Source organism: Homo sapiens, chromosome 3, assembly GCF_000001405.40.
Source record: "Homo sapiens chromosome 3, GRCh38.p14 Primary Assembly".
NCBI lineage: Eukaryota > Metazoa > Chordata > Mammalia > Primates > Hominidae > Homo > Homo sapiens.
Window position 1 is genome coordinate 125,302,825 of NC_000003.12, and position 20,918 is coordinate 125,323,742.

Below are 20,918 nucleotides of genomic sequence, written 5' to 3' on the forward strand. Positions count from 1 at the left end.
ATGAGTGACTGTATCTGGGTGATAGGGGTATGGTAGGGTATTTATTCTAGAGATGAATACCTATATTCACAGAAAAACCTGCACACAAATGTTAATAGCAGCTTTATTTTTAATAACCAAAACCTGGAGACAACTAAAATGTCCCTCAATAAGTGAATGGTAAACTGCGGTACATTGGTGCTATGCAACACTACTACAAAACAAACAGTAAGAAATTACTGATACATGCAACAACCTGGACGACTCTCAAGAGCATTACGTTGAGTGAAAAAAATAGTCAATTCCAAAAGGTCACATCCTGTAGGATTCCATTGATACAACATTCTCAAAAATGACACAGTTCTAGAAATAAACAACAGATTAAGGATATTCAGGGGTTAGGAATGATGGAAGGAAGAGAAGAGGTGTGACTATAGGGGGTAGCACCAGAGAGATCTTTGTTATCCTGGCTTAGTTCTGAATCTTGATTGCTTTGGTGGTTACACAAATCTACACATGCTGCAAGGGTCCCCAACTCCCAGGCCGTGGACCAGCACCAAGCCGTGACCTGTTAGGAACCCGGCTGCACATCAGGAGGTGAGCGGCCAGTGAGCAAGCAAAGCTTCATCTGTATTTACACACTGTCCCCACTGCTTGCATTAATGCCTGAGCTCTGCCTCCTGTTAGGTCACCGACAGCATTAAATTCTCATAGGAGCTCAAACCCTATTGTGAACTGCACATGCAAGGGATCTAGGTTCCCTGCTCCTTATGAGAACCTAATGCCTAATTGATGATCTGTCACTGTCTCCCATCACTCCCACATGGGATGGTCTAGTTGCAGGAAAACAAGCCCAGGGCTCCTACTGACTCTACATTATGGTGAGTTGTATAATTACTTCATTATATATTATAATATAATAATAATAGAAATAAAGTGCACAATACATGTAATGCTTTTGAATCATCCTGAAACCATCTCCACCCCCACCCCATTCGTGGAAAAACTGTCTTCCACAAAACTGGTCCCTGGTGCCAAAAACGGTTAGGGGTTGCTGCATAAAGTACTCAACATGGGATACACTGTCGCAATGTGAATTTCTTGATTTTGACATTGCAGTGTATTTATATAAAATGTAACAACTGGGAGAAATTGGATGAGGGATGGAGGGGGTCTTCTCTGTACCATTTTTGCCACCTTCCATAAATCTATATAATTTTAAAATAAAAAAATTTTTAAGTAAAAGGATAGATTTTTGTCCTTTTCCCCTTCCTGCTCTTGCCTATCCTCTTATCCTCCAGGAACCAGTCAGGTCTAAAGCCATAAGCTGGGGCCAAACAAGGTGTCAGATACCAGACAGAAGGAAGAGGGCTTCTACATGGGAGGATGGCCCAATATAAGATGTCAAAGACCAAGCAGGGTGAGGTGGTTCTCCATATAGAGGGGCAGCTCAGCATGAGGTGCTGGAGCCCAAGCAGCATAAGGAAGAGTCTAGATTGTGGGAAAAGGGCAGCCTGGACCACCATGTCAAAAGCTAAGTGGGGTGAAGAAAGTATCAAAGAGTGGATGTAGACCAGTGCAATGTATCTAAGTAAGAGTGCCATAAGGAGGGGGTCTGCTTGGTGCTAAGGTCTAGTTCAAGTTGTCAAAGCACATGTAGGAGGAGAAAGGTATCCACGCAGGGCAGGGGTAGCAAGTACTCCTGTGAGGCTTACAAGCCTAGGAGCATCTGCATTAGGGGTTAGGATAATAAGAAAATAAGTAAATATGCTGAGATAACAAGCCAGGTTTCTCACCGTCTAATGTACTCTGCTGGACTTGTAATGGGAGGTAGCAGTAGGAACTCATGGTTTTCAATATTGATAGATATGGAAATTATAGAAAGGAATATGTGCACTATATGTAAATGTACATCATTATATACATACATACATTCTCTAGCTCTGTCCATTGAGAGGCCTAGGAGCAGCTATATCCCAACTGCAAGGAGCAGCATGTTCAGCACCCAGACCTTGGCTTCTAAATACCATTCTCCACTAAAATGAACTAGGGGGTCCTTGGAGAAATGGCTGACTCCAGAACTAAAGCAGAAAAAGGACAAGATAAGCCTAGAACATAATGTGCCAAAAAGCAAAGAAGTACTCAACGACTGACGAGATATGTCCAAGAACATAAAACCTGCTTGAAAAGGCTTCTGTTAGCCAAATCTTAAACAAACTGAGTATTAAAATAATCACAGTAATAGATTTTAACCCAGCAAATTTTTAAAAACCCTAATTCCATATTGATAAATAAAGTGTGATAAGGAATAACTTTATAGCAGCAAAGCCTGGAAGGTATCAATTGATCAAAGTGAACCATCATCTGAATGACGGCAAATAAAACTCAGGTGCTGCCTGTCAGAATGCAATGGCGAGAAAACACAGCATTATTTGTACAATATTCCTGCCAAAGATGCTTAACTTAAATATCCTAAGGAGGAAAAAAAATCAGGTAAGGCCTGAGGGACATTCTACTAAATAAATGTAAAATATAAATTCCAAAAGTGATGAATTAACCCAGACTAACAAAAACTGAAGAACATGACAATTAAATTCAACATGTAATTTTGAACTGAGTCTTTTGGCTAACAAACTTTAACTGCTGGACTTTAGCAGCTCTCTCCCAGTAACTAACAGAACATGTAGTTCAGTGAGTACATAAAAGAGTTAAAGAATACAATTAGTGGCCGGGCGTTGTGGCTCACACCTGTAATCCCAGTACTTTGGGAGGTGAAAGCAGGAGGATCGCTCGAACCCAGGAGTGTGAGACTAGCCTGGGCAACATAGTGAGACTCTGTCTCTACAAAAAAATTTTAAAATAAGCCTGGCATGGTGGTGTGTGCCTGTAGACCAGGTAGCTCAGGAGACTGAGTTGTGAGGATTACTTGAGCTCAGGAGGTGAAGGCTACATTAAGCCATGATCACACCACTGCACACCAGCACGGGCAAAAAAAAAAAAAAGAAAAAAAGAAAAAGTGAATACAACTAAACAACTTGACCTAACTGACATTTATAAAATAATCCAACCAACAATAGCCAGAATACACATTCTTTTCAAGTACACATAGAACACTCACCAAACAGATCATATGCCAAGCACTGAAACAAGTCTCAATAAATTTAAAAGGGCAGAAATCATACAGCATATATTTTCTAACCACACTTACTAGATATTAATGATGAAAAGATATCTGGAAAACTTCAAAATATTCAGAAATTAAGCAAAACACTTCTAATTAACTCATGAATCAAAAAGAAATAAAGGAAGTTAGAAGTATCTTTAATTGAATTAAAATGAAAAAATATATCAAAAGCTATGCTGAGAAAAAAGTTTGGAGCTTCACATGTTTAGGTCAAAAATGAATATCTAAAATCAGTCACCAAACTTTCTACTTTAAAAAGCTAAGATAAGAAGAGCAAATGAAAACCAAAGTAGTAGAAAGAAATAATAAAAAGTAAAAATGAACAAAAGTTAAAGTGAATAGTGAAAATCGATAAAACCGAAACTTCACTATTTGAACAGACAATGAAAACAAGTAAATCTCTACCCAGTCTAATTAAGAAAAAGAAAAATTATTATACCAATATCAGGAATGAGAAAAAAGAAATCACCATTGATCCTTAAAACAACAAAAGAAAATATTAATAGAACTTTGGTCAATTAAACAATTAAGAAAACACAATTTACCAAAACTTATTCAAGAAAAAATGTTTAGTATGAATAGCCTACTTATGTTTTTTTAAATAAAATTTGTAATTTAAAACCTTCCCACAGGCTGAGGTGGGAGGCCACTTGAGCCCAGGAGTTCAAGACAAGTCTGGACAACATAGTGAGACCCTGTCTCTACAAAAAAAATTTTTTCTAATTAGCCTGATGTGATGACATGTGTGTATAGTCCCAACTACTTGGGAAGCTGAGGTGGGAGGATCATTTAAGCCTAAGAGGTTGAGATTACAGTGAGCTGTGACTGTGACCCTGCACTCTGCACTCCAGCCTGGGCAACAGAGCAAGACCTTGTCTCCAAAGAACAACAAAAAACCCTTCCCACAAAGAAAACTCAACTCTAGATTAGCTTTACTGGTAAAGCCTATCAAATATGTATGATAAAAATATCAATCTTACACAAACTCTTTCAGAAAACAGAGAAGGAAACACTTCCTAACCCATTTACAATGAGGCCAATATACCTAAAAACGACATAGCTATTCCAAAAAAAAAAAAAGAAAACCATGGACTAATATCTCTCATAAACATACAAATGTTTAAATTAGCAAACTGAATTCAACAAGAAAAAAGGACGATACATCATGACCAAGTGTGATTTATCCCAGGAACGCAAGAGCTGTTTAATATTTGAAAATCAGCATAATTCACCATATTAAGAGAATAATGACAGGATATTCATATGATCATTTCAATCGATGCAGAAGAAGTACTTGATGAAGTTAAATATCCATTCATGTTTTTTTTTTTTTTGAGACGGAGTCTCGCTCTGTCGCCCAGGCTGGAGTGCAGTGGCGCGATCTCAGCTCACTGCAAGCTCCGCCTCCCGCATTCACGCCATTCTCCTGCCTCAGCCTCCGAGTAGCTGGGACCACAGGCGCTTGCTACCACGCCCGGCTAATTTTTTGTATTTTTTTAGTTGAGACGGGGTTTCACCTTGTTAGCCAGGATTGTCTCAATCTCCTGACCTCGTGATCCGCCCGCTTCGGCCTCCCAAACCACTCACGTTTTTTAAACAAAGTCTCAGCAAACTAGGAAGAACACTTCAACCTAATAAAAGTAATCTATGAAAAACCTACACCTAATTCTTTTTTTTGAAACAGTCTCACTCTGTCACCCAGGCTGGAGTACAATGGTGTGATCTTGGCTCACTGCAACCTCTGCCTCCTGGACTCAGGTGATCCTCCCAATTCAGCCTCCCAAGCAGCTGAGACTACAGGTGCACACCACCATGCCCAGATAATTTTTTTTTTTTTTTTTTTTGGCAGAGATGGGGTTTCCCCATGTTGTGCAGGCTGGTCTTGAAGTTCTTAACTCAAGCAATCCCTTGCCTGCCTCGGCCCCCTAAAGTGCTGAGATTACAGGCATTAGCCACTGCACCCGGCCCCTAACATAATTCTTAATGATGAAAGAGTAAATGCAGTCCCCTTAAGATCTGGAACAAAGCAAACATGTCTACTTGCATCGCTTCTATTCATCATTGTTTTGTAGGCCCCAGACAGTGCAATAAGAAAAAGAAATAAAAGAGATACAGATTGGAAAGTAAGTAAAACATATGGACAATACAATAGTGAAGAAACCTAAGGAATCTACAACATAACTACTATAACTAATCAGTAAAGATAACAAAGTCACAGAATACATAGTCAATATAAAAAGAATCAACTGCATTTCTATATTCTAGAAAGTAACAATTAGAATTTGACATTTTAAAACATACCATTTATGATAGCATCCAACCAAAACCATGAAATACTTAAGGATAAAATTAACAAAATGTGCCCAATAACTTTACACTGAAAACTACAGAACAATGCTGAAATAAAGAAAACCTAAATAAAAGTAAAGGTGTACTACATTCATGGACTGGGAGCCATTATTGTTTAGATGTTGGTTTGTCAGTCAAGTCAATATACAGAATCAATGCAATCTCAATCAGAATCAGTTGACTTTTCTATAAAAAAAAAAAAAACAAAAACCTAAAAGGTGGATTCCATACTTTATATGAAAATGCAAAGGACCTAACATAGTCACTACAGTATTACAAAAGAACAACAAAATTGGAGGACATACACAATTTGATTTCAAGATTTACTATAAAAGATACAGCAATCAAAACAGTGTGACACTGATTTAAAGACAGACACTAGGTCCATCAATGAAAACCCACAAGAAATAAGACTTACACAAACACGTACCAAGAGAAATGAAAAAAGACTTGTACAACAATTTTCCTAACCACTTTATTCATAGTAATTGAAAGCAAGAGACAACACAAGTAACCACAAAAAGGAGGATGAATAAACAAATTTTGATATTAATTAAAATGACTAAACATTAATCAATAGGGAAAAAGAATGAACTGTTGATACATTCAACCAACATGGATGAATCCCAAAACATGTTGTGCAAAAGCAGCCAGACACAAGAGTTACATGTAACTCCATTTACATGAGGTTCTCATCAAGGACAATGACAATCTATGAAGAAAAAATATCAGAACAACTGTTGTGGAGGAATTGACTGGGAAGAATTACAAAAAAACTTCCCAGGATTACTAAAACATTTGGTATCTTGATGGATTATGGATTATACAAGTTTATGCAGTTGTCAAAACTCTGAACTACAAACTCAGAATCTGAACATTTCACTTTAAACTTTTCCTCAATTAAAAACAGAATGTATATTTTCACTCAAAAAAAATCTGATTGCCTACTATAACCCAGGTATTGAGAACACAAAATTTAAAGGCAGGATACAGAAAAAAATACCTTAAAATATAATGACAAGACAGTCTTGCAAGCAAAGAAATGCAAAGTTATTATAGTTACCATAATGAAAAATCACAAGAAAGAGACATCTTTTAAGGTGAAACATGAGTAACAGTAAATTGCCAAATAAATAATATTATAGGCATATACGACATGAACAAAAGTAACAGAAAAAACCCATAGTGGACCTAGGCAACTAAATTAATTTGATATGCTTAAAGCATAAAATGGTGGCGAAAGGGGCTGAACTACAGTTAAAAAAAAAAGTTGGATAAGGGACGGGATTATGACGGCTATTTCCGCCCATGCAAAAAAGTACATTTTAGCTGTTTAGTAATGAGGAACCACTGGGGAAGTTTCAGTAAGGGAATGACATGTATACATCTCGTTTGGAAAGATCACTGTAGAAACTATCTGAAAGATACACTGGAGAAGGCGCAGGCTACTGTCAGTCCAATAAAAATGCCAGTCTATTGCAATCTATAGACTACCTCATCCAACAAAAACAGAATGCACATTCTTTTCAAGCTCGCACGTAACATTTCACCAAGGTGGACAACATTCTGGGCCATAAAATACAATCTAACAAACTTAAGAGAATAGCAATCATATGGCGTCTGCTCTAAGACCACAACAGAATTAAACTACAACTAATAACAGAATGGTAGCTAGAAAATATCTCAAAATACTTGGATATTAAACAACACACTTCTAAACAATAATGGTTCAAAGAATTTTTTTTTTTTTTTTTTTTTTTAAAGACAGAGTTTCACTCTGTCACCCAGGCTGGAGTGCAGTGGCACAATCTTGGCTCACTGCAACCTCTGCCTCTGGAGTTCAAGTGATTCTTATGCCTCAGCCTCCCACATAGCTGGGATTACAGGTGCATGCCACCATGCCCGGCTAATTTTTGTATTTTTAGTAGAGATGGGGTTTTGTCATGTTGCCCAAGCTAGTCTCAAACTCCTGAGCTCAAGTAATCCGCCACTTTAGCCTCCCAAAGTGCTGAGATTATAGGCGTGAGGCACCACACCCAGTCCAAAGAAGAAATCTTAACAGAAATTTTAAAATATATTGAACTAAATGAAAATAAAAATACAACTATCAAAATCTATGCAATGTAGCTAATGCAGTGCTTAGAGGAAAATTTATAGTATGAATGCATATATTAGAAACAAAAAATCTAAAATGAATACGCTTCCACTTTAGGAAAGTAGAAAAAGAAGAGCAAATTAAATCCGAAACAAGCAGAAAAAAATTATAAAAATTAGAGCAGAAATAAATGAAACTGAAAATAGGAAATAGAGGGAAAAAAATCAAGAAAATCAAAAGCTGTTTCTTTGAAAATATCAATAAAATAAGCAAGCCTCTACCACTGGGCAGGGGGAAATGCAGAGTTGTTCGAACATGAGTTTCAGTTTCAGTTTTGCAAGATGAAAAAGTTCTAGAGATCTGTTGTACAACAATGTCAATATAGTTTGCACTACTAAAATGGACACTTAAAAATTGTTGCTCTCTCCTCTGCTCGCATTTTCACTCTGCCATGCCCTGCTCTGAAGAGACACCCACCGTTACCCCCAGCAAACAGGCTGGTTTGCAGAGGAAGGCAGCATGCAGCTCCGTTTTGCCCCATTCTCTGAGCAGGCCACAACCCTGACTCAGGGATCCACACAGGCCACAGGCTATGACCTCAACGGTGCCTATGATGATACAATACCACCTATGGAGAAAGCTCTAGGGAAAATGGACATTCAGATAGCTCTTCCTTCTGGATGTTACAGAAGAGTAGCTCCATGGTTTGGATTAGCTGCAAAACACTTTATTGATAGATGAAGATTACTGAGGAAATGTTGGTGCTGTACTGTTTAATTTTGGCAAAAAAAAGTTTAAAGTCAGAAAAAGTGATCGTATTGCACAGCTCATTTGTGAATGAATTTTTAATCCAGAAATAGAAGTTCAAGCTTTGGATGATGCTGAAAGGCATTCAGAAGAGTTAGGTTCTATTAGAAAGTATTAAAATTTATGCTAAGAATAGAAAATGAGAACTCATACCTTTTTCTTAAAAGAGTTTTTGCTTAAAGCATTTTGGTAAAACTTCTGTAATCTTAATAGCTTTACCTTCTAAAAGTACTGCATTTTCTTATGATCAAAGAAAAGAGTACCTCTGTTCAGATCACACAGAAATTTTTTCTGCTGATAGTTGTATGTAAATCTGCTTTGTCCTGATATAAGACAGTGTCTTTTTAAAATCAAATGTACATCAATTACAGACCCCAAAAAACCCTATATAATTTAACTTAGTAAATGATACACCAAAAAAAAGGGAATTGTTAAGACAGTAATTTTTTTAAATTACTGTCTTAAGACAAGAAAAAAAGAAAAAAAGAGAAAACACAAATTACTAATATCAGAAATCAAAGAGAGGACATCACTATAAACCCCTGGACATTAAAAGGATAATAAAACAATACTATGAACTTTGTTCCCACAAATTTGACAACTTTATCAAAATAGACCAATTCCTTGGAAGACACAATCTGTCAAAACTCACACAAGAAGAATCAGATAATCTGAAGAGACCTATATTTATAGGAGAAATCAAATCAACAATAACTTTCCAAAACAGAAAGCACCAGACCCAAAGCAGTTCACTGGTGAATTCTACCAAACATTTAAGGAAGAAATTACATCAGTTCTCTACAATCTCTTCCAGAAGATATAAGCAGAGGGAATACTTGCTAATTTATTCTATGAGACCAGCATTACCCTAATACCAAAAACAGACAAAGACATCAAGAAAACTATAGACTAATATTTCTCATGAACACAAATGTAAAAATCCTCAAAATATGATCAAATCAAATCCAACCACATCTAAAAAGAACTATATACCACAAACAAGCAGGATTTATTCCAGGTATGAAAGTTGCTTCCATATTCAAAAATCAACTAATGTAATCCATTACATCATCAGGCTAAAGAGGAAAAAGTTACTGCAATGGGCTAGGTAAAGCTGGTGAATGTATGTATCAGAGCACAACTACAAGTAGTTATCCGCTCATTCACACCATGTGCCAACACCTGGACTACAGTGAAAAGTAAGACAAAACTCCTGTCCTTATGGAGTCTACAATCCATCAGAGAAGCATCGTACAAGTAAATCACAAGTCCCTATCACAGGGACTCAACCTAGAGTCAAGAGAAGTGACAGGCTGATGATGATGGAGCACTATCTAGAGGTTATAAAACAGGTATGAAGTATGACTGAGGGTAATATCTCAAGCAGGATATATTAAAGTCCTAAAGCAAAAGAAAAAGTACATGTTAGATGAACTGAAAGGAACCCAGGTTTGATATCATAGAAAGAAGAGACAAGAATTTACATGATGGTTGTGGTTTCACTGATTATTGGGTAAAAATAAAGGTAGAAGAAGGAAAAACATATGGGTGCTTATGAAACATCTTAAATGACGTCTGAGGTAGATAGGAAAGAGTAAAGGGCTGATATACTTTAAAAAGATAAACAGATCAAGCAAGCGGAGGATACAAAGAGAACAGAGAATAGGAGCATATTAGAAAAATTTAAGAAGGCAAGAATTACAGAATTTGTAGGAAAAACCCTTGAATGTGTGATATTTTTCTAGTTACGTTGAAGATTCAAATGTTTTACTCTTTAAGGAGAAACCTAGAAGTTAGATAAAATATCTTTTAAAATTAAGCATTTAAAATTTAATACCAAAATAATCCTGAGAAATATTGTTATCCTGAAAGAAATAAGCTTCTAAAATAATATAATACAAGAACTTAATTTTGCCTTTCAAATATGATTTATGTCAATATTTTAGTATATCTATTCAAGAACACTATTTAGCCCTGAAACATTTTCTGAAATTTCTTCGATGACTTGCAGTATTACGTAACAAAAAATTATGTTTCTAAGTTTAATATCTTATAAAGGAATTACTTACAGGGACATTAAGTGCATACTGTAGTCCTTGAGGAAGTCTTTCATGTGTTTCCATCTGCTCTTCATCATTTTTCACTGTCTCCTCATGGACCATGAGTTCATCATGTGATATCATATCCTGTTGTCTCATTTCACTTTCTTGTAACACTTCATCTGCAGCAAGGATCTCCTGGTGAGGCATACTTCGATCTTGAAGTACTGAATCCTGTAGCTCTCCAGACACAGTAGACTGGCCAGACACTCCACCCATTACAACCATTGTCCTGGAAGACTGCATTTCGTCTATGCCGCCACATTTAAGAAACAATCCTTCCAGTTTGTCGTCAATGTTCATGCTTAAGTATAACTGCCTAGAAAACCAAGTTTGGCAACAAAACATAGTAAATTAGTTTTATATGACTACTTCATTTTAAATTTTCAAATTAAGAATTTGAACATTCAAATACAAAGATTTTATTGATGTACTTTGGAACTGCCTCCAATTTTAAAATTATAATACCAATATCGGTTTCCAAAGGCTGGTAGAATAAAACACAAATTTTCATTTTCATATAAAGGCATCAAATCCTAACTACTTTATTATTGAAAAATAAGCCTGACATAAAAACAAATTAGGGAAAAGTATTTGTAACATCAGTCAAGGGATCCATATTCTTTAATATATTAATAATATATTGAAATGTGTTAAAAATAGAGATGAATTCAGTAAGGAATAAACTGACAGAACATCATCAAGCAAATCATTTTTAAAAATTTAGAAATAGTCATTAAGCATATAAAAAAGAGTCTCAGCAGTAATCCAAGAAATTACCATTAAACAGCACTATCATATTTCATCTACCAAACTGATAATGACTCTTAAAAAATACATCCAATGTTGAAGTATTAAAAAAAGACACTCATCTACTGATAATAAAAGTATGTATTAGATCAACTATTTTCAAAAGCCATTTGGTATCAAATGCTATGAAACGTATCAAAAGCTATAAAAATGTACATATTCTTTGAACAAGGAATTCTACATTTTGGAATTTATCTTGATGAAATAAAAAATGTAAACAAAGGTAGACACAGAAAATCACTACAGTAGTCAATACCATAACGAAAATGTTAAGTATATTTCAGTTTAGTCACTTCTTTCCCAAATTAATCACCTAAGTAATGACCAACTTTGATCATAGTTTTCAGCAGTCAAATACCTAAGTTAAATTCCAACACACTACTGAAATCAAAATACTCTTTCCTTTACTAAGGTTATCATTAACAGAGAAAACTTTACTGAAATGAACAGCTCAAAAAAACCTTATAAACAGCAAAATACACAAATGTGTAATTCATAACTTGCTAATCTTTCTTCCCTGGTACCAGGTATTATCAACCTAGAATATATACAGTATATCTGTACAAAACATCTGATTTCACTTTTCAAAATCTTTAGGTAGTAAAGTTAAAATCTAAAGGTCAAAGATTGCTGGGTATGGTAGCTCACGCCTGTAATTCCAACACTCTAGGAGGCCGAGGCGGGCGTATCGCTTGAGCCCAGGGGTTTGAGACCAGCTAGGGCAACAAGGCAAAACCCCATCTCTACAAAATAAAAATACAATAATGAGCTGGGCATGGTGGCACGCACCTGTGGTCCCAGCTACTTGGGAGGCTGAGGCAGGAGGATGGCTTGAGCCCAGGATGTTGGGGCTGCAGTGAGCTGTGACTGTACTACTGCACTCCACCTAGGTGACAGAATAAGACCCTGTCTCAAAAATAAACAAATAAAAATAAAGGTCAAAGATGTTACATACATCACCAAATAGCTGCTCTCTTCAAAAATTTCATTTATCACATTTCTTAGAAAACAAACTAAAACTAAATGAAACAAGTCTCTTAATGCTAAAATTTCATTATTCTGTCCATTTATTTGGAAATCCTTAAGAATCAACTGGTGAAAAGTATTTGTAACATCAGTCAAAAACTCCATATCCTTAATATATTAAAATACCTTAAAAATTAGAAGAGATCAATAAACTGACAGGAACACTATCAGACAAATCACTAAAGAAAACTTAGAAACAACCATTAAATATATAAAATAACTATATTTTTATGTTTTAAATATATAAAACATTGGCCGGGTGCAGTGGCTCACGTCTGTCATCCCAACACTTTGGGAGGCCGAGGCGGGCAGATCAGCAGGTCAGGAGATCGAGACCATCCTGGCCAACATGGTGAAACCCTGTCTCTACTAAAAATACAAAAAAATTAGCTGGGCATGATGGTGCATGCCTGTAGTCCCAGCTACTCAGGAGGCTGAGGCAGGACAATCATTTGAACCCAGGAGGGGAAGGGTGCAGTGAGCCGAGATCGAGCCACTGCACTCCAACCTGGTGACAGAGCAGGACTCCATCTCAAAAAAAAAAAAAAAAATGGAGGGAGTAAATATATACATAAGTATATACATTTATGGGGTACATGAGATATTTTGATACAAGCACGCAACGTGAAATAAGCAAATCATGGAGAATGGGGTATCCATCCCCTCAATAATTTACCCTTTGAGCTACAAACAACCCAATTACACTCTTTATTTTTAAATGCACAATCAAGTTGTTATTGACTATAGTCATCCTATTGTGCTATCAAATAGTAGGTCTTATTCATTTTTTCTATTTTTTTGTGTGTGCCCATTAACTATCCCCACCTTCCCCTTCTCAGCCTCTAGTAACTATCCCCTTTTACTCTCTATATCCATGAGTTCAACTGTTTTGATTTTTAGATCCCACAAATAAATGAGAACATGCATTTGTCTTTCTGTGCCTGGCTTATTTCATTTAACATAATGATCTCCAGTTTCACCCGTGTTGTTGCAAATGACTGGATCTCATTCTTTCTTTATGGCTGAATACTACTCCATTGTGCATATGTACATTTTCTTTATCCACTCATCTGTTCACAGACACTTAGGTGGCTTCCAAGTCTTAGCTATTGTAAACAGTGCTGCAACAAATACAGGAGTGCAACTATCTTTTAATATACTGATTTCCTTTTTAGGGGAAATATACCCAGCAGTGCGATTGCTAGATTGTATGCTAGCTCAATTTTTAGTTTTTTGAGGAACCACCAAACTTTTCTCCACAGTGGTTGTACTAATTTACATTCCCACCAACAGCATAGAAGGGTTCCCTTTTCTCCACATCCTCACCAGCATTGGTAATTGCCTGTCTTTTGGATATAAGCCATTTTAACTGGAGTGAGATGACATCTCATTGCAGTTTTGATCTCCATTTTTCTGATGATCAACAATGTTGAGCACCTTTTCATATGCCTGTCTGCCATTTATATCTCTTCTTTTGAGAAATGTCTATTGAAATCTTTTGCCCATTTTTTGATTGAATTACTAGATTTTTTTTCCTATAGAGTTGTTTGAGCTCCGTATATATTCTGGTTATTAATCCCTTGTCAGATGGGTAGTTTGCAAATATTTTCCCCCATTCTGTGGGTTGTCTCTTCACTTTATTGACTGTATCCTTTCCTGTGCAGAAGATTTTTAGCTCGATGTGATTTTTTTAAATTAATCTTATGCCTAGCATCAAGCCAAAACAATAAATATTGAGGAAGTAGTAGTACTCTGGGGACAGATAATATTTTGGAAAAAAGGCATAAAGTACTAGAGTGAGAGACTTGGAACAGGAAGAGAGCACACCTTGATACAGAAGTAGTAAAGTGAAGACAAAGTGGAAATACTCCAAATGAAAAACAAATGACCTCTTCAAAAATATTCCTGAAAACCAACCACATGCAAAGAAAAAGAAATCTCACTTCCTTTTTACTAAGTTCCTTATTCCTATGGCCCCAAATTAAGGCATATATTTGGAGTTAAACTGTCTGGCCTAGAAACTGTTTTTGAAATACCCTGAAATTTCCCCAAAATACCAGCAAGTACTAAGATACCAAAACAGACTCCAATATCAATGGACACAAGGTTTTAAATAAGACAAAGTTTTAAAATGAGCTTTGGAAATATCTATCAAAATGAAAACTGTATGTACTCTTGATCCAGCAATCTCACTGCTAGGGATATACAGTATACAACCTTATGGGTTTATTCATAGACATTCACCAAAGAAGTAAGTATAAGGATGTTTGCTACAACCCTTCAATGGGAAAAGACTGGAAACAAATTTAAGCATCCATAGACAGGTGACTTGTTAAATTAATTATGACTCAGCCATACAATGGAACACATGCAGCCATTAAAAGGAATGACGTTAGCATTATGTGCTGATTCTCCAAGATACATTAAGTGAAAAAAAATCAAGGAGAACTATGTAGATAGTAAGATCTTTTATATATATATATATATATAGAGAGAGAGAGAGAGAAATACATATACACACACACATATATATATATATATTTTTTTTTTTTTCTGGTAAGAAACTTACCTGGAATTTGGAAAATGAAATAAGAAAGGATCTTCATGAAGAAGACTAATTTTGACTTTTTATTATTCCTTTTTCATGTACCAACATCTTTTCTTTCTTTAATGTTACGGCAAGCTAACAGGGTATGAGTAACAGAATTGACTCTAGGTCTTGTTTTTCTTCTTTATTTTAAAACAAAGACTTAGTGTTATTTTAAAATATGTTTCAAAGACAAAGTGAGTCATACCTCTATCATATACCTCAACCTGTCTCTGGCCAGGAAATTTTACCAGGCCCATGGAAAAAGGGAATAGGATAAAGCTACACTTAATAATGAAAGATAAAAGTACAAAAAAAAATACATTTTTATTGTCCTTGCACCTCCCTTCTATGCCATTATGGTTTTAACCTTTCCCACTTAAACTCTTAAGTGGTCTCAGTCAAAGCTCTCATGTGCCTCACTGCATATTCAAAAATCCAAATACAACAAAAGGTCCCATGCTCAAAAGCTAACACATGCCATATCCCTCCTCTAATTTCATTATTTTTAGGGAGGATCAGCCAAGTGTAAAGAAAGAAAACTGAGGTAATCAAGCCACACTAATATGTAAATAATTAACTGTCTCTTCCTGTTAACTCCTCAAAAAGCCAACTGCTTTCTAATCCAAATGTGTGTATAATTAATGGAAAGTCAGGGGCTAGGGATACTACACAGAAGAGAGGAGGAAAGAAAGAATGCTTCCTTTAAATCTTATTACTCACATGGAAGACTGATTTGGAAGGGAAAAAAAAACTAAACAATTAATTTCAGCTTCAAGGAACCTCTATCCAACTGGAAAGAAAAGAAAATACGTGGAGTAATAAGCCACTCTGAGCTCCCTGTGAAGACCCTTTATCTTGTAGAGACCTTAGGCAGCTGACACCACAGAGTACAAAATGGCAGCGCTGTTAAGAACCAAGACAGACTGGAAAATGATGTCCAAGGGCTAATTCAGCTAAGAGTGAGAGGCAATCCTTCCTCTGCACTGCAAGTTACCCAGAGCAGAGAATGATGAAAACTACAACGGAGCAGGAAAGAGAAAGGAAGGAGACCAACTCAGGCCAATTTCTCCTAAATCTCCCTTTCGCAGATTACTTCAAATTCTGCATTCTTCCCCCGCTTCCATGATTTATTCTTCCCTCATCACCATCCCTCTGCGAGAGAAACTGTCTACAGGGGTATCTAGGGGGCCACAACACAACTTCCAGTTCCATTAAATTTCCCCTCCCTGCTCCCACTCCCAACCCCCCCACACACCTAACATCCTTCCTATTGACACGTGTTTAGTTCAGCTGTGTAAAAGCCTAACTGCAGTGGCTTAGGTAACCCTCTAGTCATTTAAGCCTAGTGGCAGAGGGCTACTTAAAAAGAACGTAAATTATCTGCCATTACCTTTCTCCTGTCTACCAGAAGAAATAGCTGACTCTTCTTGTGGTCACCTTCTAATTTAATGTTTCTAATCAATTATGTGTAAGTAATTAAAAACTAAGCTTTATAGATTTATATTAAGTTGAAACAGAGTAAACAGTTTTCGGTCGGGGCTTTTAATAAGGAATTAAATACATAGGCTTTTAATACAAATGTTTTTGACAATTATGTCCAAAACTCGGGGAACTGTCTGGGCTCATCTTCAGAGGACAAAGTTAACAGAAGCATTACAAATGGACAAGTTGGGCACTACTACTCATTTTTAATCAAATATACAAGGCTCTTAAAAATGCTTGCTTGTTCTACAAGGGTCAATTAAAAACTGGGAAAAAAATGCTTGCTGAGGTTTTTTGTAATGGGAGTTTTATACAATTAATGAGGTCTTTCCAAATTAATATGTTTATGTCTGTATTCTAAAATTCAGAAATTATGAAAACCTGGAGAGGAAAGACAACTAATGTGTGCTGAGATGTAAGACACTGTGCTGGGCACCTTTAAATATATTACCTTACTTAATATTTACAATAACCCTCAAGACAGTAACAGCATATCCCCATTTAACAGACAAATTGGGGCTTACCCAAGGATACATAGCTCAGAAGTAAACTGGGATTTCAAACCAGACTTACCTGACTCAATGCACTTTTTACCTTATCACACTATTTCCTGACTTTAAAAGGCCCTGGACACATTAGGAAGTAGTTGAACTCTCATTGTCCTCTCACCACCTGCTCTTAAGGCCTTCTGTCATCATTGCTTGGCTTGGCAAAGCAATCAAACTGTCCTTAGCTGACTACTCCACCTCATGGCTACTATGGGAGAACTTTCCGACACAGAATCCCCTTTTCTCCTGTGGGAGGATTCAACACTTTCCACGTTTTCTATTTTCCAATTTTCTATCTGTTACTCATATCTCAGTGAATTTCTCCTCAGCCATTCTTTCTTTTTCATGTGTTTAAATGTATCTTCTTAAGCTACCTTCCTCCCTCTGTTTTCTCAAAGCCTTACCAGGAAAATCTCTCTACCTTCCCATTCCAATTGAAAATTTAAAAATAATCCTAAATATGGCTAATAAATGTAAAACCAGTCAGTCCTAATGATACACCTGTATCAAAAAAAGAGGGCTGTACATTTTAAAATGAAAACAGATTTGAAGGCTTGTGCTATATGCTCTAAAATTTTTTAAAGCACCAAGTTCCCTTTCTGAATGTATATGAACATCCATGTGTCACTTATTACCTTTAATTAATCTGCATTTGAGCATGAAAGAAATAAATATTTCTCACTTAGAGATCCTACGTTTCTGTTTCATTTATTGAGTTTGGTAGTAATATTATTTTCCATAAACTTTTTTGAATAATATGGAACTTCAACTATGAGTCAAAGCAGGTTATAATAGGCAAGCTTCTGAACCTAATCATCATCGTCTTTTGTATAAAAAGAGTAATTCCCAACTTAAAATATTCTCACAAATTCAGTAATACCTCTTCCCCTGACTTTGTAACAGAACCCATTCAATCTAAAATGAAACTTCACTTGTAAGCCAAGAGAAGCACTCAAAGGAACTTGTTCTGAAAACAGGTAAAAGAAAAAAGCTAGATTTCACAAATTACTTCTGATCCAAAGCACTCTGTTATTTGGAGGATGCCAGTTACATTAACTTGGATATTAACATTTCTAACCTATGTTTCTAACCGTGAGAAATTATACCTTAAAAATATCAGCATTAGAAATACAAATATCAACCGGCCTCCAGATCATTTGGTGAGATGAAACCCATGATTAATACCAGAACCTTTAACAAATTTGCTATTTGTTATTCTGAAGAAGTTTTGTATTTGCTTTCATCCTTGAAAAGTATAGTTTTGATCTAAGCAGAAACTACTTCATCTCTTATTAATAAAACAAAATCTATTTCTTGTCTAAGTACATTCAAAGACCTCTTCAGATATACCTCTGTATAACTACCATTTTGTATCTATAAAACATATCTTCTAAACCATGTTAATTTTTAAAGTACTACTATTTCAAAATATCCTAATAGGAACATCATTTATAATAATGGTAACTGGACAAAATGGTCTCTGATCAGTGCTAACAAGAAAGGATGTTTAAACAAATATCTATTTCAATAGCTGCTAACACAAGTATTAATCAGAAAACTTACACGTTAACAATAATCATTTTATATGACTTTAAAAACCTAAAAGCTTTAAAAAAAACTCTATTTTTTCACCACAGAAAAATAATTTATAAATATTTGAATAAGTCAAAGTTAACAGGCATTTCTATACCACACTGAAGCCCCTCTCAAATAAAACAGAATCTAGGCATATTCTGCATTCCAAATACTTATCATCTGTTTTGTAAAACAATGTAACATCAAGAAGATAGTAGTATTTAGAAATACTAAAACATCAAATTTATGGAAATCCAAACAGTTTAAGAAACAGCTATAATTTATCTTAACAAGGAGAGGGGGAGGGAAAAGGTAAAAAAAAAGTTCACGCAAAGCAGAATCTGACATTCTGTTGGATCTAGTCATTGCATCCATTACATTTTATGCAAATATCAATAATTCAAACATTAATATTCAAACTATAGTTTCTGTAATCTTACATAATAAATATTTTAAAAAAACTTCTTAAAACAAAATTTCCCTGTATACTATGAACAAATGTTAAACACCTAATTTTTTTTTTTAATTACATGAGATGGGACTGTGCACATACCACTATGCCTAGATTGCTAATGGTTATTTTTAATACATACTATACAGTAACCAAGACTCATTCCAGAACAACAACAAAAAAGTTAACTGTTTAAATAATCAACGGCTTTTTTTTTTTTTTTTTTTTTTGAGAGAGAGTCTCGCTCTCACCCAGGCTGGAGTGCAGTGGTGCCATCTCAGCTCACTGCAAGCTATGCCTCCCAGGTTCCCGCCATTCTCCTGCCTCAGCCTCCCGAGTAGCCGGGACTACAGGGGCCCACCACCTCGCACGGCTAATTTTTTTTGTATGTAGAGACAGGGTTTCACCGTGTGAGCCAGGATGGTCTCGATGTCCTGACTTCGTGATCCACCAGCCTCAGCCTGCCAGCCTGCTGGGATTACAGGCCTGAGGCCATTTTTTTTTTTTTAATGAAAATAAATCTGACTCAAACCTTAATGTGACAGATAGCTGGCTATCTCCCCAGAATCTGTTCTCTCCTTCTTATGCAGTAATAAAAATTAAGTGCAACATATGGCTGCCTAGGTCAGAGTCACTCACTTCCCAGCCTCCTTTGCAACTGGTTGTGACGTGACAAAGAGCCAGAGGGATCTGAGTGAAAGTGATATACACAAACTCCTCTTAAAGGTAAAGAGAATGCCCTTCTCTTTTTCTTCTTATTAGCAGACACAATGGTAACCATCCTCGCCCACAATACAGAAACTGCATAGAAGAAGAGCAGAGCAAGACAAAGGAGCCCTGGGACACAGTGATTTTGCAGCCTCCATTTAATCTCAAGATAGTTTACACAGACTTTTCAAGTAAATATAAATATATTTCTACCTTTATAAGCCTCTGTCACAGTAGCCAAGTCTATATACTAATATATCAAACTTAAGTGATTACTGAATTATCTATAAGACTGCTTCCTTATATTAGTGCAGGCATACATACAACATGTATAGATGTATAAAAACTGATATGTTTTCTCACATTTTAAAAATTATATAGCAAACATCATTAAATTTGACTAACATGTCTAACTTTCCTCGGTATGAAAACAGTTTCTCTGAAAATTCTGGGAAACTTAATGAGTGTATATGTGTTCAGGATAGGGGGTAAAAAATGCTATACCCTGTTGAGAAAAAGTGTTAAACCAAGAAAATAACTCTCAATTAAATTTCACTTAAGACTACACATTTTTGTTGTGTTAGAGTCTAAAATGACATCATTATTCATCATTTAAATTTCTTTTCTCAGGAAAAAAACTAGTTTCTTCCAAATATAAATACCAAAACTTTAAGAAACTATTATATAAATTCAGTATAAAATTCTAGCAGCTGAACACAATGACTTCATATTTGAAAAAACTTATTTATTCAAGATTATGAAAAATAAGTATTAAAATTACCCGAGACTAAGGTAAAAACGAAGACTTCAAGGAAAGGAATGCTGTAGAGTTGAAAAAGAAATCATGGTTGAGTTTCTACCTTTCATAGGCTTCAGAAATCCTCAATACCACCTTAATCACTTATGCCATCCGATTCCTACAATAAAACACACACACAACAAACATTATTTATGGTAGGAAAAGATACTATACAAATATAATATGTGCAAATTGGTATGAATACTGAAGTGAAAATTCTTTCTAAATACAGTAAGTTATGACTGAATGACCAATGTACTGACTTGTTTTTATGTTTGAAATTGGGAAAATACAATAGTGGTAAGTAGACAGTAAATGAGAAATAAACTTGGCCTTATAAAGAACAATTGCCGGCCAGTCGCAGTTGCTCACGCCTGTAATCCCAGCACTTTGGGAGGCCGAGGCAGGCGGATCAC

The 20,918-nt window shown here is 35.8% G+C and overlaps 1 protein-coding gene and 1 pseudogene across 13 annotated transcripts in view; one reads left to right on the top strand and one right to left on the bottom strand.

The window, feature by feature from the left end:
• The window catches only part of ZNF148 (zinc finger protein 148), a 149,686-nt gene that overhangs the window by 77,156 nt on the left and 51,612 nt on the right, over positions 1–20,918 (bottom strand). For 7 of the 13 annotated variants that reach the window (NM_001348431.2, NM_001348428.2, NM_001348434.2 and 4 more), the window contains 2 exons: positions 20,485–20,620; positions 10,484–10,832 (listed from right to left, as the gene is read on the bottom strand). In NM_001348431.2, coding sequence (NP_001335360.1) covers positions 10,484–10,816 — 333 coding nt within the window. In that variant the 5' untranslated portion in view covers positions 10,817–10,832; positions 20,485–20,620. Of the gene's footprint in view, positions 1–10,483; positions 10,833–12,112; positions 12,230–20,484; positions 20,621–20,918 lie in introns of all 13 variants that reach the window. The other 6 variants (NM_001348429.2, NM_001348425.2, NM_001348424.1 and 3 more) reach the window with 3 other exon arrangements.
• DUTP1 (deoxyuridine triphosphatase pseudogene 1) lies at positions 8,039–8,673 on the top strand (annotated as a pseudogene).